Source organism: Homo sapiens, chromosome 5 (genome assembly GCF_000001405.40).
Source record: "Homo sapiens chromosome 5, GRCh38.p14 Primary Assembly".
Classification (NCBI taxonomy): Eukaryota; Metazoa; Chordata; class Mammalia; order Primates; family Hominidae; genus Homo; species Homo sapiens.
This window is the reverse complement of record NC_000005.10, coordinates 35,150,211-35,166,114: the sequence shown is the minus strand read 5'-3', so window position 1 is coordinate 35,166,114 and position 15,904 is coordinate 35,150,211. Positions and strand designations below refer to the sequence as shown.

Sequence of the window (15,904 nt, the reverse complement as noted above, 5' to 3'; positions counted from 1 at the left end):
CTCAAACCTTGGCCTCAACAATCAAAGCTCTGTATCATTATTTGCAACACATGAATGCTAAATGGTATCATTTCTGACTATGGACCTATGTGTAGTTAAGTTGTGTGTAGGAATATGAGGATAGAAACTATTACTATCAACCAAATGGTAATATTGGACATGTTTCAAAGATTGTCTGAAAGAGCTTGTCCATGGAGACTAACCCTTAACAAGTCCCAGGTTTCTCCTCTCCTAGAATGTGAATTCCACGTTCACCAGCAGAATTCAGTTCTGCTGAAATAGTCATGGAACAGTATTGTTTTAATTTCTCAAACTTTTCAACCATATGTTTATAAAGGTTTATAAGACAAATAAGACTATCCCTGGCATATAATTCTTTCAGTAAATACTTCACATATTCTTCCATAAGAATTAGCCTCTTCTGTAAACTCTGGAGCTACCCCAAGGTAAGATCGTACTACTGTAAATAAGCCCGAATCACTAGATTCCAAAGGCCAATGGTTACCCAGGCATTATTTGTTTATGACCTAAGAAAATAAGTCCATAGAAATAAATTGGCTTGAACAGAACCATCAAAAACCCCTTTCAATAGACATCTCAAATGAAATAGGTGGTTCTACTTCCTGAGAACACCTAAAGAACCTTTGTGTAAAAGAAGAAATCATTATTTCCATTCAGTAGCAATTTTTGAATGGTGTAACTTGCTATCTCCTTGCCTATTGGTACAATGCAGAGAAACTGTTCAAAGGTGAGCCATTCGGTAAAGAACGATAGAGTTAATCAGAGAGTCTCTGTTATGCAGCTACATGGAATGCAGGTGTTCATTGCTGGTGTTTTTACCCGCTTTGAGTTCTTGTTTGTTTTTGTTCCTATAGTAGGATGCTGCACTGATTTGGGCAGGGCAAAGTGGTGGTTGATGGAAGAGCAGAACACCTGGGAAAGTCATCCAGAGTAATTTTTGATCCCAAGAAAAGATCAGCAGAATTCTCCTTGAGTCTCTAAGTCTTCACATTGTAGAACTGCTTAGGTAAAAACTAATTCAGGAAATGTGCAGTTATAAAACTTTAATAAGTCACCCATTAACTGACATTTTAAATGTAAATGTACTAAGGGGACTCTTTATTTCCCTCTCATTCGTAAGTGGACCATCCTCAACACAGAGACCCAAACCAGAAACTTAGGAATCATCTTTGATTACTCTCTTTCAATCTTATCAAATCTTATTAGCAAATCTTATCCCTGAAATCTTTGTCCCTGAAATATATCTCAAGTCTTACCTGTCCTCACCAGTTCCACCGCTACCATCCTAATCCTGGCATCAACTCTGAACTGGACTGAGTCCTCCAGCAGCCTGGTTCCACTGCTTCTATTTTTTTTCCATTGTCTCTCTCCATTTCATTGTACACACAGTTGCCAAAATAATATTTTAAAATCTGTATCACTAATTTAAACGCTTGTGGCTTTTCAGTGTACTTAGAAGAAAATCCACACTTGTAGACCCTGATGCATTCAGCCCCTACCTGCCTCCCCAGTCTTATACCAGACTCCATTTCTCATATATTGCAGCCATGCTTGCCTTTTCAACATCTCAAGCAATCGAAGTGCTTTCTCGATTTGAGACTTTTTGTGCTTGCTATTTTCATTGCCCGGAATGCCTTTTCTGAGAATCTCAAGCAGTTGACTCCTCTGCATTTTTTATGTATAAGCTTTACATGGTTCATATTCAGAGATCCCTTCCCTGAGCACCCTTAGTAAACTGTTCTTGGCTTTGTTGGGTATTATTGGAACTTACCACTGCCTATAATTATTATGTTTGTCATCAGGTTTACTTGTTTCTTGCCTGTGTCCTCCACTAGATTGTAAGCCCCAGATATCAGCTAATTGGTTGTATAAGTTTCCATTCTTTATATAGTCTTTGAATAGTAATCATGTACTTAGTAAAGCCACTAAGGCAAGTGGCCAAGGAGACGTGGACAGTTATTTATATCTAATCCAATCTGAAGAATTATTCCAAGCAAAAATGACGTGACTGACGGCTTAAAATAGCTAAAAACTTATTTAGTTCTATCTCAAACCTCAGCTTCAATAAGCAGGCTTTCAGCCACATGTTTTCAGTATATGAATTGCCAGAGCTTCCTACCAACTAGTCATATAGTGTGTCTACCTTAACCTGGTACCTTTACTTGGGTTGCATTTCATCAGCAGCCAAGTCCATCTATTTGTCACAGTGTCTCTAGTACACTGCTTCTACATAGTCAGCAATCAGTGAATACTTGATGCCTGCATGCATGAATAAATGAACTTCTCAGGAATGCTAGGGCCAGAGAAAGTTGATGTTTAAAAAGTTAGAAAATGTAGGCACTTGAGAAGGATTAAGAAATTAACATAAGCCTTCCTTGAATTTATCATTGAAATCTATTATTCAATTTACATGTACAATTTCAGCAATACATATACTTCCTTTAGTCAAATACATCTCCCTGTAGCACTTACCATGTCTCTGACCCTTTGCCTTGCAAATTCCACTCTGATAATACCAGCAGTGAATAGAAATTTAAAAAGCCACTGTCCTCACTCCTTCCACTCATGTTCTAATGTAAGCCTTTCTTTTATGCAGCCTGAATGCACAATTCACTTGTCATTATCTCGCATCCTAGCTGCTCCTCATGAAATGGCATTCCTCTGGATTTGCTGAGTCCTAATGTTCAGGCAAAGTAAATCCCACATCATTCTGGCAGGCTTTCAGGAAGACTTAGGGACTCGTTGTCTGCTAGTGCAAATAACAGCAAAGTGTGGTAGGACTTCCTCCTTAGTTCAGCGAAGAGCCAGGTCCTTGTCGCACGGCCATGAAAAATTAGGCTCACAGACGATTTCGAGGGGGAGAAAAATGAAATTTATTGGGCAAAAATGGGGAAATTAGAAACAGGGGCCCTCTCCAAAGCCAGAGTCCCTGCTAGAGTACTTCCCACCTCACAGGTTGAATCCCAGGTGCCACCCAGGAAGAGGAGGGGCCAGACTCCTCCCCTCTGCCAGCAGAGCAAACTTCTGTGGCTCCACCCCAGTGTGTATTCCTCCCAGTGCGCAAGTCGGTTGGAGTTTTCTGGGAACCGCCTTCCCACCTGGCTGTCTCAAAAGGACTCCCAGTTGCAGAGGTATGTGTGATTCAACAAGATCCACTGGCAGAAAATAGAGGCAAATTAACTCAAGGAGTCCATTGGAATATATCAACGTACTCCCCTTCCACTCACAAGGCAATGATTTCTAAAACAGTGAATCATTTTACTTACAAGGGGTCACAATGGAGACAGGATAGAGGAAACTGCCCGGGAGACACAGGGACGAGGCATGTGGAGAGGTAGACCTTGGATCCAGTTCTGCAGCCAGTGAGCTGCTCACTCAGACCTGTTGCTCCCCTCCAGAGCCTCCCTTTCTTCATCTGGGGTATGAAACAACTGGACCAGCTTATCTCTGAGATCCCGCTCAGCTCTGACCCTCCTGTTGGAGAAGGCTTGCATTCTGAGACTGCAGTCCCAAGTAGCAATCTCTTCGGAGGGCATGTATGTGATTACGTACTTAGTGTGCTCACATAGTTTCATAAGAATCCGGTAAAATTCATTCTTATGCTACTTTTGTATTCCCACTTATTTTGAATGGAAAATCCTTGTACATATTTCCTCAAATTATGGATAAAAAGTATACAAAATACACCCTAGAGGCCAAGAAGCTCCTTTTGGTAGAAAGAATGTTGAGCCCTATGAATTTGAGCTACTCAAACTTTGTGGTTTGTTTTGGGAGCCAATCTTGAATATAAAATATTTTTTGATCCAGCAGAAAGGTGAAATCACATTGAAGTTTACAAAATAGTAATGCTAAGATAGATAGATTTTCTTGTGTGCCACACTTATGTTGTAACCAGAACTTAATTCACCATAATCATTGACAAGTCTTTTGTTACTGGAAAGGATAAGGGTTGGCAGGTCTTGTGACAAATGTTAGAATTTAATGCCCAGGATTTTTCTTGATGCACAGGACTCATTGGAAAAGCGGCAGCTATTTATTGTGACTGTGAATCACGTCCACAGATGAATATGATTAAGTGCTAAATCCATAGCAGCTCAAGTTTTTTAAAGCCTTGGAAAATTGGCTTTAAAAAGTATCACCTGACAAACCTCAAGCTTTTTCTGTCTCACAAGACTTTTGGAAAAGAACTAGGATCGACAGTGTTTTAAGGCTCACAAGGAAAAGAATCTAACACTTGTAAAATTATCTTCTGTGCAAGTTTTATTTTCCAACGTGTATCTGGGCTGCCAAGCATACTGGCTCTAGCCAGATCTTCATTAGCCGATCCAAAAAGACAGTCGGGGCATTTATCCAGATAATGCAAGCCAACACTACCCTCTGAGAAAACAAAAAGTAACTTGCCTGATGAAGCAAGGAACCTCACCGATTATTCCAGATTAATGCATCTCCTTTTACTGGCACCATGATCAGATATTTTCAAGACAAAGTACTTGGCAAGTTGGAATCCAGCTGGGTCCTTTGATTTTTGAATTCACTTTGCTTCTGTGATTATGGCCACAGTTTTGAAAATAAAGTCATGTGGATAGAGTTGTGATTTTTAGGGATCAGGATGCCTCATAAAACAACAATGCTGTATTCTTTTGTAGAACAAGATCCTGCCTAGGCCTCTTTCCTAGTATTAATCTTTGGTCATGATGAATGTGCTCCCAACCATCCAACCTATCCCTTTGCAACCAGGCTTTTGTGAGATCAAATAATTTTTAGAGTTGAAATGAAGTTATTACCAGCTCTAAAATAAGGTACTACAGGAGGGAAGTAAGGACCGACAAGAGTTAAATCACTTTCTAGGGTTGCGCAGGTAACTGGGAATGAAGCCAGGATGACAACTCTACTTGCTCTTTCATTGTATCTTATGCTTCTCTGATGTCTTCCAAGGGATAGCAATATAATCAATAGTCTTGAAAGAAAGATCTTTGTAGAGAAAGGGTCAGCAGATTATGTTTGTAATTGACTAGATAGAAGTAGTTTTGCTTTTGCAGGTTAAATGGCCTCTATAAAATGTAATTACCCAATGGGTTCTTCCTGCCCACTACACAAAGACCACAGCACTGCAGTAAAGAGTTTAACTGACACAAGGCCGGCCACGCCATGTGAGAGACAGAGTTATTACTCAAGTCAGTCTTATCGAAGGCTTGTGGGCTAGTGGTTTTTCAAAGACAGTTTAGGGGAAGAGGTGGGGGTGGCTAGGAAATGGGTGCTTTCCACTGATTGGTTGAAGCGGAGAAGAAATCGTAAGGGGTCAAAGCTGTCCTCTTGAGCTGATTCACTTATAGGTGGGGCCCTAAGGGTGATTTGGCAGGTCCGGGTGAAGCCATCTGGTACAAGTGGAGCCAACCATGTCAGACATGCAAAAAACCTGAAAACATATCTCAAAAGGCCAATCTGCAATAGTGATGTTATCTGCAGGAGTAATTGGGGAATTTGCATATCTTGTGACCAGCCTACACCTTAGCAGAATTCAGGCTCCTCTCCTCCCCATAGACTGGGGCTCTCTCATGGCTTTACAAAGGTGGTTGACTTTTGGGGAGGGGCTATTATCATTTAAACCATAACCTAAAAGTCTTCCAAAGTTATCTTGGCCTCAGCCCAGGAGTAATTAAGGCAGCTTGACCACTAAAGGTAAGAGCAGAGATGGCTAAATCAGATCTCCTTCACTGCCATAATTTTCTCACTGATACAATTTTTGCAAAGGCATTTTCACCCACTACCCAACTGTGTCATTGTAGCATGAAGGCAGCCATAGAAAGGAATAGGCATGACTGTGTTCCAGTGGAACTTTATGAATTAACACTGAAATGGAAATGTCATACAATTGTGACATGTCACAGAATATTTCATTTTTAATTGTTTTCAACTATTCAAAAATGTCAAAATCATTTTTAGCTTGGTGGTGGACTGGATTTGGTCCAGAGCAGTAGTTTGCCTGCCTCTGTTATAGAGTAACACATCTGAGCCCATGAGAGAATTGATCCTGTACCTTGGGTAATGCTCTTCCTCTCTGGCTCCTTTCTACACCTCAGTCACTTTTCCCCTGCAAGAGTGTTGTCACATTAGACTGTAAAATTGGATCACTTTTATATTTCATCTCTAACATGCCTTATTTAATAAAAGTCATTCTAGGTATGACTAAAGTTCCAGGGCTAACTTAGAAAAGGACTGAAGAGAAGAATTCCTTCTGACAAATGCGGACCCAGCCACAAATGCCAGTGATATTGTCCCAAGTATTGGTGGCTTGGGTTGCACTTGATAACAGAGGGCAAAAGAAAGTATAAATTTTGCTTGTTAACATAGCTTTAGTGGAAAATACAGAAAATGCCCCCAAACTCCATGCTAAGATCATGAACTAAACTGTTACAATGAAAGGAATTACTTGGGTTTCTATAAAAACAGCTGCCTCAAGGAATTTGCCACATTCCTTGGGTCTGCCTGAGCTCTGGTGGCCCACTGCTTGGATAGGCCTGGTTTGTTTGCTAACTTAACATGCTTGCTTAACGGCCAAACATTCCCTTGAAATTCAAGGACTTTCTGTCCCGCTGACACTGTTTATTTGTATCAGTAGAGTGGAGGGCTCTCTGGTGACACTCTAGTTTTTTCTGGGTTATAAGCAGATGCAGGTCTGTAGTTTTTCTGACTTGGATGGGGCCAATGGGTCTAAGCCAAGAGGAAAATGCTTTTTTCTTTTTCGTGTTTATTTCCTTTTTTTTTTTTTTTTTCCTATCTTGATTGGAGTACCCTTAGAAGGAAAAGGAGAGCCATAATCGTTCTCTGGAGGCCAAAAGAAGGCCGAAGGATGCCAAAAATTGTCACAGTGGTGACTTTTGGCTGGAGCCAGTGCAGAATGAGGGGCTATGAGTGTGTCACTAGAACTGTAATCCAGATCTCTTCCATGAGGTCAGGAACCCTGATTCGTATTGCTTTTTCCATGCTGTAGAACATGACACCCCACTCAATCACTTGTGCTGGTTCATTGTTACTTGTTATAGTAGTCATTGTTATCAAGACTTTTTGGTTGTAAGTGTCAGAAACCTAACTCAAACAGAGCTAAGCAAAAATAAATCTATAAATAAATATAATTAGCTCAAAAGTCTGAACTCACTGGATTGATCTTCAGACATAATTGCATGCAGTGTTCAAGCAGCAGCTACCATCTCTCCTTCCCTTCCTCTCTCTTATCTCTGCTTTCCTCTGTGTTAACATCCTGCTCTGATAAGCTTTCTCCATGTGGAATGAAAGACGGGCTCCAGCCTTTCCAGGCTCCTAAGTTCCTTGCAGCTCACGGTCCCAGAAGGAAAGAGATTGTCTCCCAGCATCTGTCTCCATAAAAAGAAGCCACCGTCCTTGCTTGAGTCATGTTCTCACTCTTGGACTTAGCAGAGTCCAGAGGGGCTTGGATACTCTCACTTGGATACTCTCAATACGTGCCAGCAAGGGGCACATATTCACCCTTCATTGGGCAAGGTAAGCCTGTTAACAGTCCCACTCGAATCATGGGGAGTAAGCAAAAGGAAGTTCTGAAAATGAAAGAATGTGGGACAGACATAAAACTCAAAGCTGTGCACTATGCTAGTAAATTATTCTTGTGTACTTAATATGAATATGGCTTTTATAAACAGTAAGCAAATCAGAAGCCACCCTGTGAATCATCAGTTATCTCTAGACATTTCTGGATTCCTTCTTTATTCCCTGATAATCTTCTTTCCTTCCTTTCACTGCGTTGTAAGTGGAAATAACACAAGCCAAAAAGACCCTCTCCTGCTCTCAATACACACATGGTCTAGTTCAGGAAGACAACATATAAACAGCAGGCATACGAGCAATTTCAGTAGACTGTGATGCCTGCCCAGGGTGCTCGTGGTCTACCTTTCATGGACCAAAGACAACAGGAATAAGAGCATTCATCTTCCTCTGCTATTGTGAGAATATAGACAGTGCAAAGACTTGGATGCCAGTGCTAACATCCCTGCCTGACCTGACTTTGAGAAAAGGACCGCCATTTTCAGCACAACCCACAGGTTCTCTAAATACTCAAAGTGTGAGGCTAGCAGATAAATTTGGCTTATAGAGGGAGCTTCATACCATGGTTAGAACACAGCAAGAAAGGAACAAATTTTTAATGTATTAATTGAAAATCAGATTTCTCAGCTGGGAAGAAGATATTAGCTGGAACACACACAAAAAAGTATTTTTAAAGGTGCCCTTTTAAAGGCTGCCAAAACTCACCCAAAGTAGTATTCAAATATGAAGACAGATGTCTTTTCAAGACGGGAAATTTTAGTTCCGAGTATGAAAGAGAATTTTATTTATTTGTTTTTTCCCTTGCCTTTTCAGGCTTTTCACTGACTTCGAGGGGATGAGGGTATGTGTGCTTAAAGTAGATGCCAGAGTGTCTTCTTGGAACTTCAGGTTTCCATGAGTAGAAGGAAGTGTTGAATGAATGAGGACCCACGGCCCTGTCCAGTGTGGACATGCCATAACCCTGTGCTGAGCTTCCTCATCTGTGTTCTGGGCTTACATTGAATATGGCATAAGCAACCCCGAAGAGCCACAAAACTCTGCTCTGTTAAGGGAGGAGGGCAAGTCCTCCCTGGAAGGGGTTGTCTCATCAACCAGGAAATGGTGGTCAGGATGGATACAGTAGCATCTATACCTCAGCCCCCTTGAAGTATCCTGATGTCCACTCCCCACAAAATCTAGGCCTTCCATAGGAAGTCAAGAGGATATTGTGCTGATATAAATTTGGACCACCAGTGAGTTTGCCCTCAGACCTGGTAAGAAGTGCATATTTCAGATATAAGATATTGCTCTGGCCTCAGCTACATACAGTTTCCATAAAGGAAAACTTTGAAGGACTGCCTGCAGGAAAAGAATAGCCTCGTGTTGATGTATCTAGGGACAGAACTCTCAGGCAGGACAACAGCTTCCTCAAGTCTTGTGACTACACTCTTTTTCCCAAGATATCTCATTGCATCTTTAATTTAGCTCCTAATTCAAAGCCAAGCTCATGGACTGTTTCAAGCTCTGGACCATGAGCTTAGCTCTGAATTAGGAGCTAAATTAAGGATGCAACGAGACATCCTGGGAGAAATAGTATAGTCACAAGACTTGAGGAAGCTTTAGTGAAAAGCAGACCCACCCAGCATGTGTAATTCTTCCATGAGGTTTCATCTCACAGTCTGCATGTCTTGCAAGTGGGCTTAGGGCCACAGGGGCAGGAGCTCTTGGTACTCAGAATGTTGTCTAGAAGTTTGGAGGAGAGAGATCCCTTCCAACCTAGGTCAAAAGGCAGAACTGGTAAAGGACTTGCAGACATGATAACTTTGAGCACAATATCTGAGAGAGCAATCCATGGAAGTCATTTGAGGAAGAGCATTGTAGACAACAGGAATAGCAAGTTCATAAGCCCTGACCTCAGGAACCTGCCCGGTACATTCAGGAGCATCAAGGAGACCATACTGGCCAAATGGCACAAGTGTGAGGAAAGTGTTGGTAGGAGGTGATTTCAGAGGGATGCCTGGAGGCCAGATCCTGGAGAGTCTTGTAGGTCATTGTATAACTTTGACTTTTACTTTGAATGAGATGGTAAGCACTTATGAGCAGAAAAGTGTATGATTTAACTTACGTTCTAAAAGAAGTATTCTGGCTCCTGTATTAAAAATAAACTGAAGGGCAAGGAGAGAGGTGGAGAGACCCATTGGGAGGCTAACGCAGACATTTATCCAGGCAAATATCACTTAGACCTCGGTGGTGCAAGTAAGGAAAATGAGAGGAAATTGCATTTATAAAAATCTCATTTAAAGATAGAGTCAACAGGATTCATCATTGGATTGGATTGGAGTAAATGAGAGAGAGAGGGAAATCAAGGATGATTCAAAGTTGGTTTTGTTTTTTTTTTTGTTTTTTTTTTTTATCTTGAGCAACTGGAGAGATGGAGACAACATTTTAAATTACTTTGTTCTTTGGTAACATGGCAGTAAACACACTTATAAACTGTATTACAGGTGGCAATCAAAATAAGCACCTGGCTGATTTGAAATATGGTTTAAAAAAAATTACAAAGTAAGGAAGATGAACTTGTATTGTTCTGCCCATGCAAACAATCTGTAAAACTGTGTGCATTTATATATTTTTCAGTCATTAATATTTACAGCGGGAGAGAACTGTTTGTGAAATCATGAATTATCTTTTGTTTGAATTTTATTTTATTAATGAGTTAGAAGTACCTTTGTAAGCCATTGTACCTTTTTTCTAAAGGTGAGAGCCTAAAACTACCATGTTGCAATGGAATAAGCCCTGGTTCTAGCTTCACGCCCTGGGAGTGACTTCTATTAGCTTTGGAATCTCCGGTAACTCCTTTAATCCTTTGAATTCTCACTTTCTATGTCTTAAAGGTGATGGCTGCCCATTTCATCAACTGTGAAATGGCATCCAAGTCCCAGGTATCGTTAAGAACCAACGGCTTCCATTTTAAACAGAAGTTTTGTTAAACAAATATTTGGTTTTACAAGGGTATTATAATTCATACCCTTATTCATTGTTCTTCCTTGCTCCCAATAGTCGATGGGTTTTTTTTTTAGCTGTGGCTTATGTGATCAAAGAGGTGAAACAAGTTAGCTCAATTGGTTATATTCTGAAATTAATAAGGTGTTCTTTTTGCATGTGTATACAAATTAACTTCCCTCTGTTTCTTGGCCACACACCTCACCTCAGCTTCACAAATGAGTAGAATTGATTACAACATGAATCAGACAAGAGAGTGTAGATCTATCACTGTTATTGAGAAAGCAGTTCAAAAAACAAGCATTCCCGCATGTTAGTAACATGTTTTTATAAAAGCTGTAAATGTATATTTATTCATATGATTTAATATTTTTTATCTTCAGTTTTTATTTTAAGTTCAGGGGTACATGTACAGGATGTGCAGGTTAGTTACACAGGTAAACATGTGCCGTGGTGGTTTGCTGCACAGATCCTCCCATCATGTAGGTATTAAGCCCAGCATCCATTAGCTATTCTTCCTGGTGCCCACCCTCCCCTGAACCCCCTCCCCTGACAGGCTCCAGTGTGTGTTGGTCCCTGCAATGTGTCCACGCGTTCTCATCATTCAGCTCCCACTAATAAGTGAAAACATGTAGTGTTTGGTTTTCTGTTCCTGCATTAATTCGCTGGGGATAATGGCTTTCAGCTCCATCCATGTCCCTGAAGAAGACATGATCTCGTTTTTTTATGGCTGCATAGTATTCCATGGTGTATACGTACCACATTTTCTTTATCCAGTCTATTATTAATGGGCATTTGGCTTGATTCCATGTATTTGCTATTGTGAATAGTGCTGCAATAAACATATGTGTGCATGTATCTTTATAATAGAATGGTTTATATTCCTTTGGGTATATACTCGGTAAGGGAATTGCTGGGTCAAGTGGTATTTCTGCCTCTGGGTCTTTGAGGAATTGCCACACTGTCTTCCATAGTGGTTGAACTAATTTACACTCCCACCAACAGCATAAAAGCCTTCCTTTTTCTCTGCAACCTCACTAGAGTCAGTAATATTTCTTCAAATATGAAGGACTTGACCTCAGATCCTTTATGATGATCATAAATACATAAATAGATAAGTTAAAAAATAGGAAGGACAGTGTGATACTAAATAACTACAAAATTAGAGATGTATCAAAAAGTATTTAGGCACTAAAATAGTTGAGAGATCATTTTCAGAGCCTCCAAGAGTTTCTATGCCTTGAATTATTTGAGCATCCAGTGCAAGCTTTCAGAGTCCTTGCTTCCTTAAATATAAAACAAGAAGTCAGATACCTTTGCCTCTGACTTCTCAGAGGTCTTTGAGCTTGACAGTTCTATAATTCTATGAGTTTTCTACCTAGAAACTATTCCTTCCATTCAGTTAGGAAATATATTCAAGTATATTTTATTTAATCTTAAACTTTGGAATCCCATTTTGGTAAGCTGCTGTTATTTGAAGGTGTTGACGTATCCTCTGGGATCTGAGAAAATTATTATCAAAACCAATTAAAGGAATCATCTATTTTGTGCGATTGGTTTTGAAATCTGTCCAGTGGGCTCTTTCTGGAGGCAAGGATCCTGGTTACCAAGAGACTTTGCTGCAAATAAGGCAAACTGGGATGACATTTGGGGTTGGGATCCTTCTCAGGACCAAATGGGCACCCATCATCTTTGGGTCTAGAAGACTGCACTGGCATAAAGCAGCTGACTTCCTGTAGCCTTGCAGAAATAACAATGGGGTGTGTGTGTGTGTGTGTAGTGTGTGTAGTGTGTGCAGTGTGTGTGTGTGTGTGTGTGTACAATGGTGGGGAACAGTTGGCAGAGCAATGAGCAAGAAATGGGAAACGACACTCAGAAAAGCAGCAACCTACCCTGAGCAAATCAAAGAATTTCTTAGAATGCAACACTAGCTGTGTGTATGAATAATTGGCTTGCAAATCACTTCCTCTATTTGCTTGTTATATAATACCAATCATTTCAGTGTCACTGACGAAAGCCCAGAAGGGAATTACCACTTACCAGCCAGTTTTACATATGGCTTTTGTGAGGAATAAGGCCTTGAGGATGAGGGTCTAAATCTCTGGCCCACAGATCTGGACAGGCAGATTTCAAGCTGATCATTACATATCTTTTGAGAGAGACAATCCCAGACGAATTGGCCTGGGGGGCAACATGAGAAGGCAAGACAAAAGAACATTGTAAAGACTTCACCTAGAATCCAAATTGTAGTTCTCTCAGCAAGTTATCAAGAAGCAAATTAACTGCTAGATTTTGTAATCCAAAGATTATTTAATCTGTTTAGCTTTGTGTTGGAAGGATCGCTACTAATCATCTCTTTTATTAAAATATGATAATGATAGCCATCCTTTATTAAGTGCTTATGATATACCAGGCACTTTGTATACATGATTTGCCTTATTCAGAATAACCCTGAAGGATCAATATTATTGTCTCCATATCAAAGAGAGGGAAACTAAGGCATACAAAAGTTATTTGCTCAAGGTCAAACAGCATGGTAAGAGGAACTGCAATTTCATTCCAGGTCTTACGGATACCAAGTCCCATGCCTGCCAGCTTGCACCTGTTAAGTCATGTGATACTTAGGAAATGTACACATCACCCCAGTGCAGAGGCCTTTATCCACTTCCCTTCATTTTGCCTGGATTGTTGCTGTGAGTGAGAAATAAATGACATGAAATGATCATGTATATCACTGTCTTCAGAGGATGGTTAGTTCCTTGCTCTGGATTGTTTTTCTCTTTTGTTGGATATTTATTTTGACTTCTCTGCAAACTAAAAATATGCATGCTCTAGTTTCTCTTGGGTACATAACTCCCAATATATTGTGAAGAATGAAACTGGCCTACAAAGTTTAATTAAGAAGCAGTGAACTAGAGCTTACTTAGACAATACTTGTACTAGTGTGGGTTCATGTTGTCCATTTGTCTTTAGAGGTGTAGAACCTTGAAAGTCAGCTAATTAATCACTATTACTGTTGTGTACAGTATTGGCAATCTCCTATGCTAAAATTTTTTGTGATGATTTGAAGGTGGGAGGGGCAATATTTACTAAGTCTCTCAACCTACATGGCAATATCTGAAACCTGCTTATAATGTAGTAATAGCTTAGGCACCACCTATTTCTGAAACATAAATCATCCCACAATATAAGCCTCCCAGTTTTATTCATGCGTCTTACCATGTATAAATATCTTTTAATATACCATTTATTTCCTTGAGGGACAGTTATTTGTAGCATAAATCTGCCTGGATAAAATAGTAAAAATTGCTATGCCCCAGTGAATTCAGTTTACAAAAGCTTACATACGTGAATGAGACATTGGAAATGTGGTTTATAGTTAAGGAGAATGGATCACGCGGATTATACCTGTATAACTTCCCTAGAAGGTTGATACCACTAAGATATTAACACCAAAAAACTGAAAATAGTATTTTTCATCTTACTTTGTTATGTACCCTTTGTGAATTTCTGAAAAACACCTTTCTATTATGATGGGATAAATTACGGTGTGGTAACAAACAAGCCCAACCTGTTTGTTCCGGTCAACTAGTTGCTTTATAACAAACCACCCCAAAATTTGTTTAAAACAGCTATCATTTGATTGTGCTCACAAGTTCTGTGAGTTAGGAAATAAGACACAACACAGTGGTCTTATGTCTGTTGTGTAATGTCTGGGTTCTCAGCTGTGAACACTCAAATGGCTTGGAAACTGAAATCAGCTGGAGGCTTCCTTATTCATATGTTTGGTGCCTGGCTGGGATGACTCAGATTAGTTGGGGCTCTTGACAAAAGCACCTATACATGAACCCTCTCAGGAGCCTTGGCTCTATGGTGGCTGGATTCTGAGAGGGAGCATGCAGAGAAAAGAATTCCAAGACAATGGATGCTCTAAGAGAAGCTACTTGGCCTTTTCTGATCTAGTCTTGGTGGTCATGCAGCATCACTTTTGCCACCCAGATCAAAGGGGAAGAGGAGACAGACTCCACCTGTGGATGGGAGAGTGTCAAATTCACACAGAAGTTGTATGCAAGCTATTCTTGGTCATCTTGCTCATCTATGAAATATACCCTCCTCCATGCATTGACTTACAACAAGGGTTTATTTCTTGCTCAAAGTCTGCTGTGAATCTAGGCAATTCTCCAGAGCAGCTGTTCTTTTGTTGGCTTAGCAATCCAAGCTGCTGCTTCCATCTTACAGCTTTTCCATATCAACTCATGATTCCACAACCATTGCTACGAGGCAAGAGTAGTATGGAGGATCACACACTACTCTTAGAAACCACCAGCTGGAAGGGAATTATATCACTCCTGCTTACATTTGATGGCTCACATAGCCATGCCCAAATTCAGTAGAGCAAGCATGGCCCTCCTGTGTACCCAGAAAGGAAGGAGAGCTAGAAATATTGGTAAATAGCAATATTGTTTACCATAGCCTCAGAGATATTGCCTCGTGGTGAAACCCTATAATTCCCCTCAATTCTGATTTTTGCCCTTTATCAAATCATTTTATTCATTCCTTCATCCATCCAACAAAGATGTTTTATATGCCTACTATTAGCAACTATCAGTAGCTTGTTCCTGGAGGGAATGCAGCTGCTCCCCGCCAAAACACCATATAATTCACTCTAGAAAACTAAAATTTCAGATGCTTTGTCATTGATTATTGTGGGGAGAAAATGTCTCTTTCAGCTCCGACTTTGTCCTGTCTCCTCTAAGGCATGTGAAATAAGATTTTTTTTTCCTATTCTTACCTCCTATGGTCCCATTTTATGGTTTTCATGCACTACTGTCAGTCAAATATTTATCATATGTCTTTCAATATCTTTCCAATATTTATCATATATCTTTCCCCTTGTAGGCCTTAACTTTATGACCCACTATTAAGCACGCAGCTGTATTTCCAGAAAATGTAGATGGTTTAATTCAATACTGCATGGCAATTAACTGTCTTATAAATTAAATCATTTTAATCCATCTTAGAGTTATCATGCATAATTAGTCTGACAGCACAATTCTGTTTGTTGTTGTTTTAAAGGAAATTTAGATATCAAGGCTGCAAAGAATGCGTAAGTCTAGGCAGAAGGCTCTTATTTTCCAAAAGCAGAGCCCATCGTTGCATTTCAACAATGACCGCAACAAAAACCATCAGGAGCTGTTTGGGGCCTGTTTGTGCTTTAGTCTTCAATTAGAAAAAAATGTGTTTCTGATGGAAAACCATAGAACAATCCTCACTCTGTGGTAAGAAAGAATAAAGAGAAAGAAGTGGGCTCTATGATAGACTGAAG

General features: G+C 40.1%; 1 protein-coding gene across 6 annotated transcripts in view; it reads left to right on the top strand.

Moving 5' to 3' along the window:
• The window catches only part of PRLR (prolactin receptor), a 181,732-nt gene that overhangs the window by 64,373 nt on the left and 101,455 nt on the right, over nucleotides 1-15,904 (top strand). The window contains exon 2 of one of the 6 annotated variants that reach the window (XM_047417390.1): nucleotides 13,142-13,328. The exons of the other annotated variants lie outside the window; for them this stretch is intronic. The gene's annotated coding sequence lies outside the window, so the exon portion shown is untranslated. The remainder of the gene's footprint in view (nucleotides 1-13,141; nucleotides 13,329-15,904) is intronic. 6 annotated transcript variants of the gene reach the window in all.